Here is a 23,006-nt window from a genome sequence, read left to right on the forward strand (position 1 = left end):
TTTCACAGGTCTTGGCTTAGGGTTCCCTGAAAATTTTCTTACTTAGTACTTATTTCATTTTGCTGATTTTTATGACAAATCCTACACTCTAAGTCACAGGATATAAACTGGAGGTGGCCCACTTTCATCTTTGTTTGACCCAATGTTTTCAATGTAATAATATGTATTTGTGTCTCACACGGGCATGTGCTCTTCAGTTCCCAGTAGCTGAAATGCTTTCAGTTATTTCATATATTTATTTGCATCTCTGGCCTTGAATGTTAAAGTCGTCACAAACGTGGTAAGAGTTGTACTGACACCACATTGGTTATTAAAAGAAATATAATCAAATGAAATAAATAAAATAATAAACAACATAACACGACATAGCAAAATATAATAATGAGATAACACTAGAAATGCAAGTTTCTTCAATTCAAGAACTTTTCTTTCCTTTTCAAGTTATCTCACAGATTAATGAAGAAGTGAAACTTTTCAAATTATCTTACAGGTGAATGAAGAAGTGAAATCTGAAGTTAGAAGAGAAGATCACTGTTAATCTGAAATGGTAATAAGGTTATTTCTAGTACTCTTCTAAATCAAAACATATAACTGCCTACGTTGCATATAACTGCCTACATTGGTAAGAACCACCTTGTGAATGATAAGATAAAAGCAAAAGAGAAACAGAATGTACTTCTAGTCCTTTCTGAATAATCAAACTTGTAATGTAAAATCTAGAAGAGAGATATCCTGACATAGGAGTCTGGAAATTAGGTCTGCTTTCCTTCAAGTCATTTCACCTTCAAAAGATACAGTTTTTATTATCATATGTAATCCGGTTAGAATTATACAAGGAATGAGTAAGATAGTATGTAGTAAGTTGTAAAATATGTGTTATAAGATAGCAAAGTCAGCATATAAGGTAAAGTTGCATGTTGTTAAAATTAATCTTGAAAATTCCTTAAACTCCTTGTTTCAAACTACCATACTTTACAATAGTTTCCAAAATGGAAAGCAAGTATCTTAAAGTAGAAATAAATGACTAGTTGGAGTGTGAGAAAAAAATAACAGAAGGTCCATTTGTATTGTATTCTTATCTCATTTTTAAAATTTTCTGTCTCAGCTCATTTAATGCATGAATACACTAGTTCAGAAATGCATAACCATAAGTAAAAATCAGTATGGAAATATTGTTAGTTTTTGCTAATTTTTTTATTTTACTCATGGGAACATATGTTTTAAAAAATGTTGCTGATCCCTGCTTTACCTCACTGTTGATGAGTGAGCACTAAAGTAGTTGGCTTTGTTTCAGAGCCATGTTACATTAAACTAACATTTTCAACATTAAAACCTCATTAAAAATAGAGAGATGCTCATACTATCAGAGATACATGGGAATGAAGACCCACTGAAAGAGAGCCAGTTTCATATCTCCCATGGTATGTATTTTTGAAGCAGTAGAGTAGTAAGTCATGCCGTTTAATTATATGTGCTATCTAGCATTTTCTCTCTTCCTCTCTCTGTCATGTAGCACCCCAGGCTTAAGAATTGACTCTATGTAAGTGAACGAATGTGAACATTTTGCAAAGCCACCACACATAATAAAGCCTTGAAAATCATAATCTGCTATGCAAATGTAATGTATTCATAATTTTGACATAAATAAATTGCATGAAAACAGTAAAGAAAGGGGAATCAAAATTTTCCTACATACAAAAAAATTTTAACTCATTTTGCTGGTTTCCTCAAAAATATAAGAAGGGGAGAAGACCCACCCTCCCACAGTCCTGCAGCAAAGTAAATACTCACATAAAATTTATAGCTTGCTTAGACAATCAGGTAGTAAATATTTAGAATAGAAAAGAGGAGAGGAATGGTCATTACTCTTTATTATGATTTCTCAAGTTCATGTTACCATTGTAAAATCAGGAATGAAAAATAATTGTTATCTAAAGTGAAACTTAACATTAACCTTACTGAAAAAGGTCACCATGCCTCTATGTAAAGTGAACATGGCATATTCTACAAGGTTGACTTCAGGTATTTTCCTATGCATTCATTCGTATCTGCACACATTTTGTACTTGTCTATGCATGCATATTTTATGCACCTAGATAACTAACCCTTCTCACCAGGGCAAAATGATAATGACCATCACATTTTTTTCTATAGCAGTGTTATAAGGAATGACTTAAAAGAGAATAGGCCAAGTTTGAAATATGTTGCTTAAAAGTCAAGATATTATAGGCCCCACACTGCCAAATGCAAAAATTTCCATTTTGTAGGTACACAGCTTTTAAACTAGTATATCGATAATTTTAATGTCTTTTTCATTCATTGGAGTAATTTATGTTTACCTCATTTGCAACGTTTTCATCCCTATATTAAATTATATTAGAGGAATAGGAAAGAAATGCGGTTGCAGCTAAAAAATTCCAAAAAAGCACTTCTACAATTAGCCCTTTGCCTAAAAACAGGAAAAGTAAGTAAAATACTATTTTTAAAATCTATTCATTTATTTAATACTTTATTTTTAATTGACCAATAATAATTTTATATATGTATAGGGTATAATGTAGTGTTTTTATATATGTATACATTGTGAAATGACTAAGTCAAGCTAACATATCAGTTGCCTAAAAGCCTGGAGCAGTTAAAATGGTCATGAGAAATCAGAAAGCATGTATTTCTAGACCTCAGGCTTGGATTTGAGGTAATCTAGAAAAAGAGGAGGGAATTCAACGGTGCAGGCAAAATAACAAAAATCTCATCTAAGACAAGACGGTAATACCATCTTCACAAAGTAATACCAATCCATGTTTTTGTAATACCTATTGAAATGCCAGTATATTACAATTCATGTTTTTAGCCTTAATCCTAAATGAATGTACTATTCTCAAACATAGATTAATTGAATTTCATATCACCAAAAACGTTTGCTTAATGATACTTTGGATGTTCTGAAATTGTCTTTTCACTGCATATGCATATAAAGAGTATATTTCTACTTAACAACCTTCTACAGTATTGAGGAAAAAAGTTTAAATATTTGGCTCTCTTTATAACTCTAATTTTCCCAAGGCTTAAATAAATACATAGTAAAATTAAGCCCATTGATACTCTTCATTCCAGGTGTGCTGAAAGAAACTATCATGTTAAAAAATGACTACCTTATCCTAAGAGGTAATATTTTAATAACTAGTATATAGCATTAGCCACTCTCATGGTGGAATAAACTAAAAGCCACATGACTAATATTTCCAATATAAAAAATACTTAGATAATGCATGAGAGAGACAGTGTGGGAGCCATCTTTGAAGATGGCATCAGATGACTCTCACCTCTTGATATTCATGTCCCTGTGCTGTCCCCTCTCACAATGACAATTTCAGGGCATCCAAAGTCCTATTAAGCAAATGTTTTTGATGACATGAAATCACATTGAATAAGGTTTCCCCATATAGCTAATAATATATTATGGATATGACAGAGCATGACTTCTGAAACTAGGTTATAAAGGACATGTCAGCTTCTATCTAGCTCTCTCCTGGATCACTAATACTGGATTAAGCTCGTCGCCTATGGTGACATCCACGTGGCAATTAACTGAGTCCATCTGCCAATAACTAGCACTACTTGTTGGGCATGTGGGTCAGTCATCTTGGAAGCAGATTCTCCAGCCCCAGTCAAGCCTTCAGATGAGCAGCACCAGGTGACATCTTGACTGCAATCTTATGAGAGACCCGGAGTGATAACCATCCAGCCAAACTGCTCCTGGATTCCTGACCCACAGAGGCTGCTTGAGATAGTTAGTGCTTACTGGTTTTAGTTGCTAAGTTTTGGGTTAATTTGTTACTTAGCAATAGATAACTAATAATGGCATCAGAAACAAGGGAAAGAACATGGGCCGAGAGGTTATCACATCTAAAATGTCTTGATGGTGACATAAAGCTGAGTGCTCTTCAGGTGAAGTCCCTTGTGTCTCAGTTTTGTCAACAGTAAATTGATGATAATAAAATCTTATTTCACAGAGGTCTGAACAGTAAATGAGATAAAAGAATTCAAAGAAACTGGAAAGTGTTTTTTTTTTTTTTCCTCAGTAAGTGTATATTTCTTTCTTTTCTTTAAATTGTGCTTAATTTTACCATCCTTCTTTTAAGGGGTTTTAAGCTGATTGCTCTTAGCACACAGAAATGGACTTTACAGGATGTTGAAGAACTGCAGGCAGAGATAGGGCTATGGGTGTTCAGGCACTGCCTGTTTTTTGTTTGTGTTTATTTGTTTATGTTTATCTGTATGAAGAGCTGGCTTTGAAGATCTTGATTTAAGATAAATGAATATTTATAAACATTCTCTTACATAGAAGTAAAGCGATCGTATAAGTTATTTCTGATTATTTATGTGAGCCTCAAATCAAAAAAGGTCTCTAGGAAAGAAAACTCTAGATCTTGCAGAAATAAACTCTGTTCCTCTCTGACAGGGTCTCTGACAGCTTCATGTTCCCAGTTAAAGACCTCAGAGGTCAAGAAGACAACTCTGAAACATGCTGTATCTGTTTCTGCTGTGTTCCTCTTGACTCCATTTTTCTGTGTCCTTGACTAAATAAATTGGGAAATTATAAGTGAGTGTTTGTACATGCAGTTTCTTATTTTGCAAATCCATAAACAACTTGAAATGCTTTTGCCCTTGGTATTTCACATTGACATTTCAAATTAGTTTTGATAGACTCTTAAGGGCCTTGACCTACACTAGGTGCCATAGTATAGGGGTTAAACCCATGGACTCTGCATGAAGATTTATAAGACTTCCTGGGTTTAAATCCCAGCTCTGCCACTAACTGTATGAACTTGTGCAAATTACTTAAAAGCATTCTATGCTTTGGTTTCCTTAGGTAAAAGTTGAGAATAATAATATTTACCTTACAGGTTTGTTATAAGAGTAAAATGGGTAAATATTATCAACTTAGAACACTACCTGTCCAATAGCAGGTGCTTGCTAAATAGACAGCTTTTTATTTATTTTTATTTTTTCATTTTTTATTTTGTTGAGAGAGAGTATCGCTCTGTCTCCAGGCTGGAGTGCAGTGGAGCAATCTCGGCTCACTGTAATCTCCGCCTCCTGGGTTCAAGCGATTCTCCTGCGTCAGCCTCCTGAGTAGCTGGGACTACAGGTGCCTGCCACCATGCCCGGCTAATTTTTGTTAGTAGAGATGGGGTTTCACCATGTTGGCCAGGGTGGTCTCTATCTCTTGACCTTGTGATCCACCCGTCTTTGCCTTCCAAAGTTCTGGGATTACAGGCGTGAGCCACTGTGCCTGGCTAGCTTTTGATTTTGATGAAGTAAATAATTGAATGGCCTGGGCGTTTATGGTGAATCTGCATAGTGAGCGCAACCATTCAGCAACCAGAATCCTTCTTTTTCCTACTCCCTGCATATGCTCAACTTTGCTTTACTTAAGTTTTGAAACGAAATTATTCATTACCATGATATTTGAGAATTTGAGTATTGCCTCAAATATAACCCTAAAGATGATAAATGTATGCTTCACTCTGAACTGAAAATATGTTTGCCTTTCACAAGTGCATTTGATTTTCACAGCTGCATTTTTCTATGCGTGTGAGTGTGTTGGGGAGGACATTGATTGGGGAAAATCAATCTACCTTTTCCTTTTTAGCAAATGGTTCTGAACTCCTTTGAAAATCTAATAAAAGCTGTAGTCCATCTCTACAGTAGGAAAAAAAAAATCACTGAAGCTATGATTGTGGGCACCAATTGGCCCTTTTCTATATTTACTATAGGCCAAGAAAGTGGACCGAGGATTACTGTAGCTTTTTTTTTTTTTTTGACAATGGTTGCTGAATTTAGAAAAGATAAAAAGAGAGAGCAGAAAAAAAAAATCCAGGACATTGCTTCACAAAATATTGGAAACAAAATGGCCTTTAACAAAGGAGCTCTGATTGTTAGCTTTTAAGAAATTAATGACACAAATTAAAAAGTGACTTTGAAAGGTATGTAAAATAGTCTGTCAGTGTTACTTATACAGTGTTTTGTAGAGAACCAGGGATTTGGGGAACTCCTGCAATGATGTCCTAATTTAGAGAAGGGTTGTGAACAGGTAGAATTGAGGCTCCATTTACCCAGCATCTTCTCGAGAAGTGCTGTGTTCATAAATATTACTTCTTGGGCTTCCAAATAAGATTGTACATGAACAAAGAGTTCCATAACTTATAAAGGATTCAGAACCACTTTTCTGGATATTTGTCCATATAGATAATTACAAACTGAAACTTCTCAACCTAGGTTATCAAAATCTGAGAAAGGCTATATTGGCAGATGTACAATATTGTAGGGTGAAATGAGAGTGACCACAGACCAGTTTATCTAATTCTCAATATATAAAAATATGGAGTCTTCTACTAAGCTATAAAAAGGCAAATTCAGAATTAGTAAAAACATATAAATTAGTAAAAAGAATTTAAAAATTTAACAACCCAAATTATAGAAGTTGCATATAAAATAGCTAAAAAAAATTTTAGGTAAAACCAGTCAGAAGAAATGAGACTGTATGGCCGGGCGCGGTGGCTCACGCCTGTAATCCCAGCACTTTGGGAGGCCGAGGCGGGTGGATCACAAGGTCAGGAGATCAAGACCATCCTAGCTAACATGGTGAAACCCTGTCTCTACTAAAAATACAAAAAATAAGCCGGGCGTGGTGGCGGGCACCTGTAGTCCCAGCTACTTGGGAGGCTGAGGCAGGAGAATGGCGTGAACCCGGGAGGCGGAGCTTGCAGTGAGCCGACATCACGCCACTGCACTCCAGCCTGGGCGACAAACCAAGACTCCGTCTCAAAAAAAAAAAAAAAAAAAAAAAAAAAAAAAAAAAAAAAAAAGAAATGAGACTGTTATGGGGATATTATCCCTTATTATTAAGGTTGATGTTAAAAAGGGATATTGTCTTCCACAAATCTTTTGATTCCAGTTCCAGAAAAAAATACCTGCTTGCATCACATACGTTCTTATCCTTTGTGGTAATATCTAAGTCTTTATATAATTTCACCAGTTTTCTGTTCAGCTATTTAGCTGCAATTGGTTATGAGCCATGACATAAGTAAATGATATTATTTGGAGGTGTCCCCACCCAAAATCTCATCCTGAATTTAATTTGAATTGTAATCCCCATATGTTGGGGGAAAGACCCATGGGAGGTGATTAGATCATGGGGGCAGTTCCCCCACCCTGTTCTCGTGATAGTGAGTGAGTTCTCACAAGATCTGATGGTTTTATAAGGGGGTTTTCCCCGATTTGCTTGGGACTTCTCTCTCCTGCCGCCTAGTGAAGAAGGAAGTGTTTGCTTCCCCTTCCACTGTGATTGTAAGTTTCCTGTGACCTCCCCAGCCATGTGGAACTGTGAGTCAATTAAACCTCTCTCCTTTATAAGTTACCCAGTCTTGGGCAGTTTTTTATAGCAGCATGAGAATGGACTAATACAGTATGTAAACCCCCTACATATATGTTGTACAGTATGGAATTGCCAACATTTGGCTTTTTTGACTTCGAAAGTGGGAATTTCATACGGTTTAACCTAGCATTTGCTTGAATATATTCCTCCCTAGTTTTGACGCAGACTCTATACAGTTCACCCACAGGGGTCCTGTGATTTTTTGATCGATTGATAACAGAATTTGAAGATGTCTGAATGAGCCTACTGGTTGAAAGTAAAGAGAAAGTTGTCAAGTCCTGTCTTATCTTATTCAGTAGCTCTTGCCAAGGTTTTTGGGTCTTCTCAAGGGAGTAATCACACAGAGTTGAAATAAGAGCAGCCCTAAAATCCCACTGGTTAGTCCTTTAGGCATGTATTTTATCTCCTCTACAGCCTCTTTAGTGACAGAATATCTAAAACATAGTGTTCTGTAAAACAAAATGTTAAACTATCTTGTGGGAGAATAAGGCAGGTGAAAGGGTTGAGGCTTATCAAGGAAGCCAGGCAAAGACAGCAGTTCCTATTGCTTTTGAAGTGCTCTTGTGGAAGCTGTACTCACGTCCTTTAAGAGCTGGTTTACTTCCCAAATAAACTGAGTTGCCAGCAACTCAGTTTCAGGAGGGAGGGGAAGAAATGAAATGCATCAGTGATGGAGGATTTGCAGGCATTTCTGAGATCATACAAACCAAAGTGGACATTTCTTCTGGATGCTATTAGCTACTCATCCCTCCCACGTGGGCCCCTTCAGTTTGCTTGCTGGAGAGGAGGCTGCTGAGAATCATTCAAGCCAGTTAAAGAAATTGCCTAAAGTAAGTATCTGAAACACAAGCACGTTAGCTCAAAGTGCTTAGAACACAGTAATAATCACAAAGTCCTCACTTCTTCTCTCCTTTGTACCATTCAAAGGCTGGAGGCGGCACACCTGCACCTTCACATCTTATCAGGCCACTGCGTCCGGGGGTCACGGTGCCAGATTTAATTTCCTGAATAGTAGGAGCAACTGCAAAAGAAACAAACAAACAAATACTAGTAGATAAGTAAAAATAATCCTCAACAGAAATATGACACACATATATTTTTATTCCTTCTATATTCAAAGCAATCTTATGCCTGATAGACCAACGCATCACATTTTCAGTGTTTTATGCTTCAAATACAAGACTAGTCATTTTCAGCTTCATTTTTCAAGGTGAACAATAGATGAATGTTTTCAGGGAGTGCAGAGTAAATGCAATACATTTTGGCCTTGCTTCCTACTGGAAAAATGGCATTGGTGAGGGTAACACTCCATCTGTACTCCAGTCCAACTCTACTGCAGTAATAGTTCTCATCTATTGAGTGATCACAGGGAGCCAGTCACTGGGCTAGGTGCTTTACATTCTCGATTTCCTCACAAAAATACTCTAAGCTTGATGGTATTATCTCAATTTTACAAATGTGAAAAGTCAAGTTCAGAGATGTTAAATGAATTGTCAAGGTCACACAGCTACTTAGTTGCAGAATTTGCCTTTGAAGTCAGGCATGTTAACTCAAAGCCTGGGCTCTTGAAATATTCTGTGTTTTTTCCTGCCTCCTCCCTATGCTTTAGTAATTTAGTGATTTTTTCTTTAATGTAGTTTCTTCTGCCCGAATGCCGTTGTTCCCCATTTCCACAGATTCAAGATCCATATTAGGCATCAGTGTCCCCATGCTCTTCCCTATTGCTCTAGCTGGAAAAAGTTTCCCCGCCTCTGAGTATCTGGATCTCTCATACCATCAACTTTCTATCATGTATTGATAGAAATGTATTGCATTGGCCGAGTGCGGTGGCTCACGCCTGTAATCCCAGCAATCTGGGAGGCCGAGGCGGGTGGCCCACGAGGTCAGGAGATCAAGACCATCCTGGCTAACACAGTGAAACCCCATCTCTACTAAAAATACAAAAAATTAGCCGGGCATGGTGGTGGGCACCTGTAGTCCCAGCTACTCGGGAGGCTGAGGCAGGAGAATGGCGTGAACCCAGGGGGCAAAGCTTGCAGTGAGCCGAGATTGTGCCACTGCACTCCAGCCTGGGCGACACAGCAAGACTCCGTCTCAAAACAAAACAAAACAAAAAAGAAATGTATTGCACTGTATCATGTACTGTATTTATGGGTATGCCAGATTTCCTTTTCAGTTCCTTGAAGGCAGGGTTAAATATCTGATTCATTCTTTGTATATTCCAAGATCATTACACAGTGCCTAGCACAGTGTGATGCTTAAAAAGCTTTTTTTGTAGCATAACTTTTTTTTTTATCCTTCACATAGTTATTCAGCTGTCAACATGTGCCAGGCATTTCTCAAGGAACAAAGCAGTAAATTGCCCTGACGTGATGAAGCTTATATTCTAGATGGGGTAACAAATGGGGAGACAGACTATAAACAGCAAATATCACAAATAAGTAGTTTAAATAAAATGTTAGAAGGTGATAAACAATACAGTAAAACAAAAACAAAACCCTTATAGTTGCAAGGTAAGAGGAATCAGAGAATGGAATGGAATACTATTTTCGATAGGGTAATCTGAGTAGGCCTCATTGAGATGGCAAAACTTGCACAAAGACTAGATGTAAATGAGTGAGTTAGCTATGTGGATATTTAGAGACAGAACCTTGAAGGAAGAGGGAACAGCTTGCAGTAAGACACTGAGGCTGAAGCTAGCCAAGTTTGTTTAATAAATAGCAAGATTGGTGTGGCCGACACAAAGAGAAAGAAGGAGAGTAGGAGGAGATAGGACCAATTTTCAGTGGATTCCAAGTTTACACCAAAGAGAAACAAAGGATGGAAGACTGGGTAGGACCTCTCAGGTCATTTCAAGGAATTGACTTTTATTCTAAGACAAATGGTGAGTCCCTGCAGAGTACAGATAAAATCTGATTGTTTTTTTGAAAAGATGACTCTGGCTGCTGTGTTGAGAAAAGACCATAGTGAGGCTAGGATAAAAGTCTAGGGATAAAGTAGGGAATGCAGTAAGCAAGGCAAATGAAGGTGGGTGGCTCACTCCAGGGTGGTAGCAGTGCAAGTGGTGGAAAGTTATCGGGCTTGTGGTCTACTCTGAAATTGGAGCTGATAAGATTTCTAGACAGACTGAAGTGACATAGAGAAAAAAAGAGGAGTCAAGGGTGATTTAATTTGGCTTGAGTAGCTGGAAGGTTATTGACTGAGATGAAAAGGACAGTAAATAGAAGAATTTTGGAGGGGGCTGTGTGCAGTGGCTCACACCTATAATCCCAGCACTTTGGGAGGCCGAGGCGGGTGGATCACCTGAGGTCAGGAGTTCGAGACCAGCCTGGCCAACGTGGTGAAACCCCGTCTCTACTAAAATTACAAAAATTAGCCAGGCATAGTGGTGGGCACCTGTAATCCCAGCTGAAGCGGGAGGCTTGGGAGGCTGAAGCAGGAGAATCGCTTGAACCCGGGAGGCAGAGGTTGCAGTGAATTGAGACTGCCATTGCACTTCAGCCTGGGCAACCAAAGCGAAACTCCATCTCGAAAAAAAAAAAAAAGAATTTTGGAGGGAAACATTAGGAGTTGTATGCATGCGTCTTTTCATAAATATTTCCTATTCTGCCAAGTTTTTAACATACTATAATTCATATTTCAAATAACACTATAGAAAATTATTAATCAACAACTAGAATCTTGAAGATACAAAAACTAGTTCATTCAGAAATATGGCCTAAGTGTGCACTATGGATGTATTTTGATTTCTTTGGAAAGCAATTAAAAAGTACAGCACTTAATGGTTTATCAATATTCAGTGAATACTGAATATATAGTTTTCAACATATGAAAACTATAAAAACTCTTACAATGGAACATTGCCTTTCAACTAAAAAAATACCCTAGGAAATACATCATTTTCTGTTAAGGGAAATACTTCTTTTTGAAATTATTGCACTTCTATTTCTCTGTGGTGTTTTTATTCTTATTATTTATAGTTCTAGAAAACATTGCAAGGAAAATATTTTTGCTAAAGTACTTGCTAATAAATTGGTGAAAAAAATGAAATAATATTTCCAAAAAATGTTTGCATGAGAACTGTTACAAGATAATATAGATACACACATATACACAAACACACACCCAGTTTTATATATATATAAATCATATATGTATAACTTTTATAATGTACATATACATATATACCCTTATATATACACATTTATCTATATATGGGTGTATACATATACGTATATTCACAAACACAAGAAATCATTTCATAATTTTAAAATTGTTTTGTTAAGCAAAATTTCATGTCACCTGCAAAAGCCAATTAAATATATTAAAAAATCTATAAATAAAACTTCATGTACTTGTCAATTATTATGACACTGCTCATGACAGGTACAGGTAAGATTGTATTTTCACTATTGTTCTCATAGGCTTTAATCTCTCTTTCCTGTCACACAAACAGACTGTAATCTTTTATGATATCTAACTATTATTGAAGATGAAATAACCATATGCAACAGGAGATCCATCACAAGCTTCTACTGATAACCTGGTTAGTTTAATTACTCTCTTGTTTGTCAAGGGGGCCATGACTCATTATAAACAAAAGCATGAAATCCGGAACATTGCCTGAAAACCGGAACATTGCCTGAAAACCCAGGCGTAATGAACCGAAATCAAAATCTAGTTCATCATTAAAAGGCTTTTGTGCAGTACAGTGTACATACGGCTCAGTACTGGGTGCTTTACCACACAAGTTAAAGGGACATGATCCTGTTATCTAGGGCTTCGTGGGCTGCTATGATGGACACCGAAAATGGAAAGATATCTAAAATGTCACATGGAAATATGGATAAAGAATGAATAAATATGCATAAGAAAAAGTCCTAAGAGCATTTTGCAAGGTATAGAGTTAAAGGTCCAAGTGTTGTGAAGTAATCAATGTGGAGAGAAGATTCTCATGAGGCTATCCCTTTGTGGCTAAAATTATAAACTTGAACCAAAAACCTCTATTGATTTTACTTGGAGACATAAAAGTTCTTATTACATACTCATATTACTGTGCATCTTTTGGAAATAACTTGTTCAAAAAGAAAAGGATTCATCCATTTATTTATTCTTTATTCCTCTGTTGATTCAACACATATTTTATCAGGGATCACATTAATGAAAAAAAAAATATTCCTGGCCTCATAGAGCTGATATGAAGTGATACAAACTAAGACGAAAACAGAGCAGGGTGAAAGAAAAAGGAAGAGCAAGATATGTTATTTACTATGTTGCAGTCTCAGAGATCCTGGATGATAAGGTAATATTTGAACAAAGAATTAAATGATGTGAGAAAAGGAATCATTTGGCAATTCGTAGAAAATTATAATAAGAAAAAGGAAAGGCAAAGGTCCTGAGTGGAGAGCATACTTGAGGTGGAAACATGTTTAACAGGATTAGGTTTAACACACTGTTTTAGAAATAGCAAAATGGTCATCATTGCTTGAGTAGAATAGGTGAGAATAATCTAGAAGAGAAGGTGGGGCAGGGGGCTGGAGCCCAGATTCTATAGGGTCTAGTAGCCCATGGTAAAAGCTTTGAATTTTATTCTAAGCTGATAAGGTTTTGCAGATTTTGAGCAGAGGAGTGACATGATTTAGTTAAAATCCTACAGAGATTATTTGTCTGTTGTGTGGAACATGGTCTGCAAAGAGGCAGGAGAGGAAACCGGCAGAATAACTACGAGGCTGTTGTAGTAATCCTTAGGATAATGAGAAAGTCATTGGCCAATGCATAGAAAAGGCAGAAGCTGAGGATAGAATGTAATTAAATAGATCATTGCTCACATTGGACCTGAATCAACTCATTTTAGTTAGCAGGCATTGACTGAGAATTTTCAGTGGATTCCAAGTTTACACCATTCTGAACCCTATTACTCTGTATAAATAAAAGGATTTTGTGGGTACAGACATGTCTGATAATGCCCAGAGGATTACTTTCTACATTACTTCTTAGAAATTGTGATGTACATGTATGTCTTATGAATCTTTTATTGCAGGGGTCTGTTAGGAACCGGGCCTGTTAGGAACCCGGGCCACACAGCTGGAGGTGAGTGGCAGGTGAGCAAATGGAGCTTCATCTGTATTTACAAATGCTCCCCATCGCTGGCATTACTGTCTGAGCTCCACCTCCCATCAGATCAACAGCAGCATTAGATTTTCGTAGGAGTGTGAACGCTATTGTGAACTGCACATGCAAGGGATCTAAGGTGCACACTCCTTATGACAATCTAATGCCTGATGATCTGAGGTGGAGCTGAGGCAGTGTTGCTAGCACTGGGGAGTGGCTGCAAATACAGACTAATGTTAACAGAGAATTATACACATAGGCCATAATAAATCAATTGCTTGCAGACTCATATCAAAACCCTATCAGTGAGTGGCAAGCAACAATTAAGCTGCATCTGGTGGCAGGCTTTATAGTGGCAAATAAGTTGAGGTACTTCAATTGCACAACTGCATCTGGTGGCAGGCTTTAAGTCAGAATCTGACACTTTAGTCTGCATGTGGCCCACACATTATTTTATTTACCACTTCTGTCTGTACCTTTTTCCTACACTGCGCACTTGTCTCAGTCACAGTTTTGGTAAGCCCACAAGCTAACCCTAGCCAAAATGAGTAAAAACCAAACATCACTGGAGAGCTTCTTTGAAAAGGGGAAAAGACCCAACAACTCTAAGACTGCCAACAAAAGAAAGCTGCATTTAAAAGAAAATAACAAGAGTGCTACTTAAATTACAAGTTCTTTGTAACAGGTGATTCACATTCTCCAAGCCCACTTTGTATAATGTGTGGTGACTGGCTATCCAACAAGGCCATGAAAACTTCAAAACTGCTGTACCACATGGAGACCAAGCACCTTGCATTAAAAGACAAGACTTTGGAGTTTTTCAAAAGGAAAAAAACATAAACACAAAGAACAGAAGCAATTATTGAAGGCCACCACTTCATCAAATGTGTCTGCACCAAAAGCATGATTCTCGTGACTAACCACATTGCTAAAGCTAAGAAGCCCTTCCCTATTGGTGAAGAGCTGATCCTGCCTACCACTAAGGATATTTGTCATGAACTTTTAGGAGAGGCTGCTGTTCAAAAGGTGGCACGTGTTCCTCCTTTGGCTAGCACCATAACTAGATGAAATAGCAGAGGATATTAAGGCACGATTGTTAGAGAGGATTAACGAATCACTGTGGTACACAATCTAGGTTGATGAATCTACTGATGTTGACAAGGCAACAATGCTTGTTTATGTGGGATATATTTTTCAGGAGGATGTTCGTGAGGATATGTTATGTGCACTTTCGTTGCCAACCAACACCACAGCTGCAGGACTATTCAAGCCTCTGAATTCGGGAAAACTGAATTGGTTATTTTGTGTTGGTATATGCATGGACGGAGTTGCTGCCATGACTTGACAGCTTTCTGGTTTCACTATTCGGGTCAAATAGGTCACTTCTGAATGTAAGTCTACACACCGTGTCATCCATAGATAAATGCTGGCTAGCTGGAAAATGTTACCTGAACTAAAATCATTTTCCAGAATGTGATTAAAATTACCAACCAGGTTAAAATACATGCCCTTAACTCACATCTGTTGCCACAGCTCTGTGAGGAGATGGACACAGAGCACACATGTTTTCTCTTATACACAGAAGTGAGATGGCTTTCTAAAGGTGGATAACTGAGCAGAGTATCTGAGTTATGAAAGCCACTGCAGAGATTACTTTTAGAAACACAGTCACCAATGGCAGCACATTTCAGTGACATAGAATGGGTCGCAAAACTTGCTTACTTATGTGACATATTCAACCTGCTCAATGGACTCAGCCTTTCACTCCAGGGGAGAATGACAACTGTGTTCAGATCGGCAGATAAAGTGGCTGCATTCAAAGCCAAACTGGAATTATGGGGGCGAAAAGTGAACACTGGGATTTTTGACATGTTTCAAACATTAGCAGAGATTTTAAAAGAGGCTGAGCCAGGACCTTATTTCTCCCAGCTGGTGCATGATCGTCTTGCTCAGCTTTCGAAAGACTTTGAGCATTACTTCCTAATCACAAAAGACACCCGAACTAGGAAGGAATGGATCTGCGACCCATTTGTGAATAAGCCAGGTGTATTGACTTTGTCCCTGCCAGAAAAGACTCACTTACTTGAGATTACAAATGACTGTGGCCTTAAAAGTATGTTTGGGACAACCTCAAATCTCCATAAGTTCTGGATTAAGGTCAAGACAGAATATCCTGGGTTGCCACAAAGGACTGAAAAACCTGCTTCCATTTCCAACATCCTGTCTTTGTGAAGCAGGGTTTTCTGCAGTCACAGCCACCAAAATGAGATCATGGAGTAGACTGGAAAAGCAACACACTTCGGGTGCCACTGTCTCCCATCACCCCCAGATGAGACTGTCTAGTTGCAAGAAAACACACTCAGGCTGTCAGTGATTCTACATTATGGCGAGTTGTATAAGTATTTCATTATATGTTACAATATAATAATAATAGAAATAAAGTGCACAATAAATATAATGCACTTGAATCATCCTGAAAAAATCTTCTACCCCACCCCACAGTCCATAGAAAAATTGTCTTCCAAAAAACCGGTCCCTGGTGCCAAAAAGGTTAGAGACTGCTGTCTTTTTGGACAGACCCTTTTCCAAACTTATGTGGTCACAGCGTTCTATAAGGTTTTATTTGAGCATTTTGTGGGTCTGATATTTCTTGGGATATATTCTGCATGTGTCAAATTACTGGAATAGTGGATCTCTAAGCTGTATTCTACATCATAGGTTATGTTGTCCGTGACTTTTAAGGTGAACTGTCATTACTGGCTCAAGAGGTTTCTAAGGGCTCATGAGCTATAATGTACTCACAGATTTCATGTAAGGAGAAGGCTTCAATTATTTGTGCCATAAGGATATGGTCATTTATTTCCCTGGAACAGATGTACCTGACAAAAATTATGACTAGTTAAATCTCCAACTGGAGCTGTACAGTAAAAAATTATAAATATATTTGGCCAAGTTGTACAAAACACTCATTTTCCACTACAATATTCCATGTTTTAAGTAATCACAGTGGGCTCTTTCTTAGAAAGATGATCAAATGAAAAAATCTGAGTGATTGCTTCCAGAGCCTATTTCTCTTACTACTACACTCCCTCCATTGCTCTGTGAATTTTGGCCTGGCACCTGAAGTGTAAGCTGTTTTTGCTGGGAGTAGGGAAATAAATTTATGCATCTTCATGTGTTTATGTTTCCAGAACTGTTTTTCTTTTTGTATATATAGCCTTGTGTTCTTCTTAGATGTAACCTTTCAATAACATTAAAGTGGCAAGGAAAGTGAATGCTAGAGTCTCTCAAATTCACCAGTAGAATAGCATCCTTTGGAGTGGACTGTGAGCTGAAGCAATTGCACAGTGGAAATAAAATCAATTTCAGAGGAATGTTATTAGACAGATGTGAGTAAGAGCAAGGAACAGATGTTGGAGAAAGCCAGCAGTGAAAGAAAGGGTCAGCATGAGGTATTTAATACCTGTGTGATTAGAGGCTCACAAAGGAGGAGTCTTCCTTTCTAATTTGCTCAGTGGGATTATTTCTTTGCATTCTTTAGCTAGTCATTTCAGGATGAAGATAATGAAAGTGTCTTCATCCAAATCTCCAGGCTCTGCAGGTGCAAGAAACAGAAACTCTGCACTTGGCACCCAACAAGCCTAATCAAGATTCATTTTCTTAGTTACTTGACAATAGCTACCAAAGATCTTCTTTCTCTCATGCCATCCTCAATGGGAGCTTTAGTCATGTAGAGAGTATTATTATTATTAAAAACGAGTAAATCCAATAATTATTTTAATATCCTTACTAAGTTGAGGTAGTTGAAATGAAACTTTAGAGTTCCAATGGCAAAAGAATTTGAACACCACCCTATCCCCTTAAAGTGATGGATGATTATGAACACGCCATGTTAAATAACTGCAACAATAAAAAAGGGTGCCCAGAGAAGAAGAGTAGTAATGTGTTTCATGTTAAATACTGCAACAGTATAAATAACATTGCCCGTAGAGCATTAGTGAATTTAGAGTCTATAAAGAGGAAAAATCGGTCCTACAGAATCCACATGGTTTGAAAACGCTGTGGAAAATAAGCATGTTGACCTTAGTCTGTATTTAGGATTTACATACTACATTAAGGCAGCCTTAGTCAAATGGACAGTCTTTGGAAAAATTTTAAGATTTCAAGTACCTCACAGAGAATACAAAATATAAGATGTGTTCAATATATTATTGTTTCATAGGAGGAGAGTTATAGGTAGTTAAAAATTTCTTACTTGAAGACAGGTTGAAACTCAGGGTGGGAAACAATGACAATCTTTCAAAGGTTTTTATAGATCTCATAGAAACATATCATAAGGTCAACCAACTCTTTTTATGAAGCAAATATGTCTTCGCCTAATGAATTAATTTCACCTTAAAGGAAGCTAAGATTTAAAAAAATCAAACTTCCAAAATATAGTTGAATCACAATCTTTATGACTTAGAGACTTTCACATTGAATTAAGCCTCTGGTCAGCATTCACAGGGGATGAAAATAATCTAGTTTGTAATGTACCTCCAGCTTCCCCCAGACCTTAAACATTTACACAGTGGTGAAATAATGCAGTAAAAAAGCACTGCTTTGCAGTGCAACAAACGTAGCTCTAACATTTACTGTCTGAAGTACTTAACCCTTCTAAATCCCAGTTTTCTCACCTGTAAAATAGACAGTACTTACTTCATAGGATTGGTGTATGGAGAAAATAAAATAATTTAAGGAAAATGCTTCATACTGCTTTGCACTGAGTTAGTTGTCAATAAAAACATTAGCTATTATTAAATTAGGATTATTACTAGAGAATAGAGTATCATAGTCCTGCTTCCTTTTAAGGGCATGGAATCATGATAAGACATGGGCAAAAAAGAAAAATGAATTTTTAAAAATTCATTGCCTTGGCACTGCAAGCATGTGATTAATTTAATTAAAACCTGGATGAGTATATCACATTTTACTCTCCCAGAATTCCATCCATAGCCTACTTTTTTTAGCGTAATCAAGAAAATCTTTCTGAAAGGCAGATGTGGTAAACCTTATATTCCTCTTTGAACAAGAAATAAGAGGCTTGGGTTCAATGTGAAAAAATGTGAAAAGTGTATGTAACACAAAGGTATCCTTTCCAGGAAAATATGCAACTGTGGTGGTACATTACTTGGGTATATAAAAGATCATGTCAGTTACATTAAACATATTGATGAGGTCATTTTCTTTTTCACAAGAAAGACAATAAGTGAAATTTTACATGTTAACTTGACCTTAATGTTTTTTTAATATTTAATATTCAATGTGACAGAGTACTAAGCTGTGATCTTTGATTCCCTTATGTTTGAAAAGGTACAGAAAAAAAACAAAATTATTTGGTAAAAAAATTTTCGGAGCGCAGAGATATATGACTACATATGAATTCTGATTTTAGGAGGATGAATGAAATCTCCAGCACTAACTCCCTAAACCCTCAATAACAATCTGTTCATTGTTTGAAACTATTAACCTAAGAGATTATTTTCCTAAGATCAAGTTCAATGTTATTATATTCAACTTTTTCAAGGGGTTGAATTTACTAAGCTATCATTAGTCATTATATTGTGGTATAAATGATCTGATACTGTGTTGATGATGAGTATGCACATGTTAGAGGCCATAGATGATGGATGAATGGATGAGTTACCTGTGACTCATGAAGTGAATAAAAGTGCAGTAAGAAGAGAAAGGCTTACATCATGAGTAGTTTGCTGATGTTAAAGCAGAATTTATTCATATTGTTCTTTTGACAACGGTTAGCACTGGTGAAATTATAGCTTGAAATAGCTGTCCCCTTGTAGTCAGCAATGCTCACTCCAGTGATGCATCCACTGTAAAATATGTGTGAAATTTATTGGGCCACCAGCTGTATCAACAGGAATTAAATGGTTCACTGTTTTCCTAGCTGTTTGCCGAACTTTCTTTCTTTCAACTTGTTCATGATCTGATCTCTTCTCTGTTGTCAGTCATGCTGAAATTATAGCTGTATGTGATTGATTTGGATATATTGGACAAGTTTGCAAGTATTGTAAAAGTTGGGATTCTCTGAAAGTATCTCTATTATCAGCAAGTACAATCTTGTAAATAAAATTGCCCTTCAGTACAAATCTTACAAATCCTAAAATATTTGAATGCATTTTTTCTAATATTGAAGGCGTTATAAACTTTCTTAAATAAAAATTATTTTTAGTGAATCTTCAAAAAATGAAGATTAGAAACGTGCAGACTCTTTAGATCCCTGTAAAACATAAGAATTTTTTTGTAATTTATTAATGAAAATATGTTTCTACTTGTATTAATCATTCAAGGTATGTTGTTAGAGCTTCCATGATGTTTATTGCTATGTTTTAAGCCATGGTATGCCATCAAAGACTCACATTGATCTCTCAAAATGTGAATGAGCCAGGCTCATATATACATTCGAGATAGGTGAAGTCAATCAATTGAAAAAGTAATGGCAGTAAATATACATGGGGTAATAGATGAGGATAGCATTGGTTGGATCTTCCCTTAGGCCAGTTCCTCACTGGATCATGTTTCCTTCTGCTCTCAGAGCCAGTTTCCTCCAAAGATCTAATAGTAAATCCAAAGGCAGAAGGGAGCCTTGGGGTGTTATGACTTCTTCCCTCTCAGAATAATAACTGGATCTGATTTCTTAGCTTACTGAATGGTTTATTATTTCTTCTTGTTACTATGGCCTTCAAAAATCTTAAAAAAGAACATTTAAAAAGTTGATTAAAATTCAGTTATTATCATTGTTTAATTCTATAAAATGAATAATTCATTTTGCTAATATATTCTAAAGAATTACTTTCCAAACACACTGTCTTATAAGAAGAAAAAGAAAGCTTTCAGGATCTAGAAAGAAAAAGAAAAAAATAAGATTTATATCATAGAAATATAGTTGTAAACTACCCATTTCTCCCTGCCTCAACCCCGCCTTCAGTTACGTGACAGTGTCAGAAGTCTAGCAAGACTACAGAAAATATGTTAAGCGAATGACATTTTCCAACACTACAGATATAGATTCCCTAGTAAAAAATGAACATTAAACCACTTTCACCCCCCCGCCATTTATTTTGACATGGCAATTGCCTACTCAAACCTGCATCTTGGAGGATGTAATGTGATAATATTTCTATATGGTTCAAAGACTAAGGCAACAGAGGTAGTAACTGTGCAACCAGTGTGCTTTATCCATGAACTTGCCATGAACTTATGAACAAGGGGGGAAAAACATCCTAGTGGGAAGTGATAGTAGTTGTAGAATTGAGAGGTAATGTTTTTTCTCATTTGAAAAACATAGTTTTGGACACTTCTATTTATGGAGAAAGAAAGCTAAATCAGAACATGCACAATAAGTAGTAACTAACAGCAAAAGAATGAGAAGACAAAGTAGGAGAGACATTTTACCTATAAATAGTGTAGCTTAAAGAAATCAGAAGATGTGGGAGGAGGGGTGGTAGAAAAACTGTAATTTTCAGAAAGAGTAGTATGGGTGTATTTGGGGCCAAAGCTGTTTTAGAAGGGAAAGAAAATGTCATCCTTCTTAAAATGATTAAACAACATGGTATGAGAAGAAAACTCTGCCTAATAGCAAAAGTAATTTGACAAGTGAAGAGAACATCAAGAAAGGAAAAGTCTCACTGACAAAACAGAAATTCCATGTCAGCAAGAGCAGCACATGAATAAATTATTAAAGAATATGTTTGGGTTCCTTCCTTTTTTGCTCAGGAATACATACACATTTTGCTCAGAAATGCAGCTGATACTCTCCTTATAATCTCAATCTTATTTAATGCCCTTTCAGTCAAAGTCGCCAGATCCTGTCTATTTACTGCTCTCATCCTGCAAAGCTTATCTGTGAATTTGATGAACAGTTACTATTACCAGTTCATCAATGTCATTGAGAAACATTTCTAAGTCTTGAGAGATGCTATAATCTTGTTGATTCTGCCTTTAAAATGCATCTGAAATCTTATACTTCTCATCACTCCTATAGTTATCATATTGGTGCTAGCTAACATTACTTCTTGCTTGAAATATTTCAGTAGTCTCCTAATTGGTCTTCCTGGTTTTGGCTTTTGCTCCTGTTACAAATCATTCTCAGCACAGTGGCCATAGTGTTTCTGTTAAAAGAAGACAAATCCTACATCCTTGCTACACACAACTATGCTTCACTTCCCTCACTTTTTCAGAATAAGAGCCAAATTCATTACAATGGTTTATAAGTCTCTAAATGATCAACCCTCTTGCCACTTCTGTGACCACATCTCTGTCCATTGCCTCCCTTGTCCAATCTGCTCTAGCAATATTGGACTATTTCAAATTGGTGGAACACAAACCAAGAGCATCCCTACTTCAGAGTCTTTTTACTTGATACTTCCTCAGTCTGGAATAGTCATCCCTCAGATATTGACATGTCGTGCTTACATCCTCATTTCCTTCCAGTCTGTGCTCAAAGTCCACCATATTAAGGAGGTGCTCCCTGACCTCCTATATAAAATGGCAATCCTACCCCCTTACTCTCAAATTCTTTCCTTCTTAACCATCCTTACTGTTCTCCATCCAATAATCTCCATCTGACATGGTATATATTTACTTCTTTATTGTTAGTTGTCTCCCCTCTCGCATTGGAATGTACAATTCACAAGGGAACAGTCTTTGTGTTGTTCAATGATGTATTCCAAGTCCTAAGACCAGTGCCTGAAGCATACTAGGCACTCAATAAAAAATAAAATGTTATTGGTGTTTAAAGAATAAAGTAATCATCAAACTATTTGTGTTACAGAAATGTTGCACATTTTGATGTAGGCCAAAAAAGATGTCATAATTTCATTCACCTTTGCTGAGTAGAACATTTTTGTAGTATTATCATTTGAATGTTTAACATTCCCACTATCATGTGCCTCTAAAAGAAATAATGCAAAGTCTGCATTTATATTGCTTTCACATTTTTGATTTTTTTGTGTGTATGATACCTTATATTTTTCTTTATACTTACATGAATACACACAGACACACACACACACACACACAATTGACCTTTTGTATTCATGGGTTCCATATTTGTGGATTTAACCAAAGAGGGCTTAAAAATATTTGAACTAAAAAATAACAATACAATAATAAAGCTACAACTAAAAACAATACAGTGTAACAGCTATTTATATAACATTTATATAGTATTAGGTGTTATAAGTAGTTTAGAGATGAGTTAAATTATATGAGAGGATGTGCATAGGTTCTATGCAAATACTATGCCATTTTATATATAAGGGACTAGAGCATATACAGATTTTTATATCCTTGAGGAGATCTAGAACCAATACTCCATGGATACTGAGGGATGAATGAATATATGTGTTTAGTTGATATTTATGTGTTATTTTTCTATATTTTATATATATTTAAA

General features: G+C 36.6%; 1 protein-coding gene across 2 annotated transcripts in view; it reads right to left on the reverse strand.

The window, feature by feature from the left end:
- NEGR1 (neuronal growth regulator 1) overlaps window positions 1-23,006 on the reverse strand; it is an 886,597-nt gene that overhangs the window by 206,742 nt on the left and 656,849 nt on the right. For both annotated transcript variants that reach the window (NM_173808.3, XM_011541200.4), the window contains exon 5: window positions 8,342-8,462. In NM_173808.3, coding sequence (NP_776169.2) covers window positions 8,342-8,462 — 121 coding nt within the window. The remainder of the gene's footprint in view (window positions 1-8,341; window positions 8,463-23,006) is intronic.

Source organism: Homo sapiens, chromosome 1 (assembly GCF_000001405.40).
Source record: "Homo sapiens chromosome 1, GRCh38.p14 Primary Assembly".
In the NCBI taxonomy this organism is placed as follows: Eukaryota; Metazoa; Chordata; class Mammalia; order Primates; family Hominidae; genus Homo; species Homo sapiens.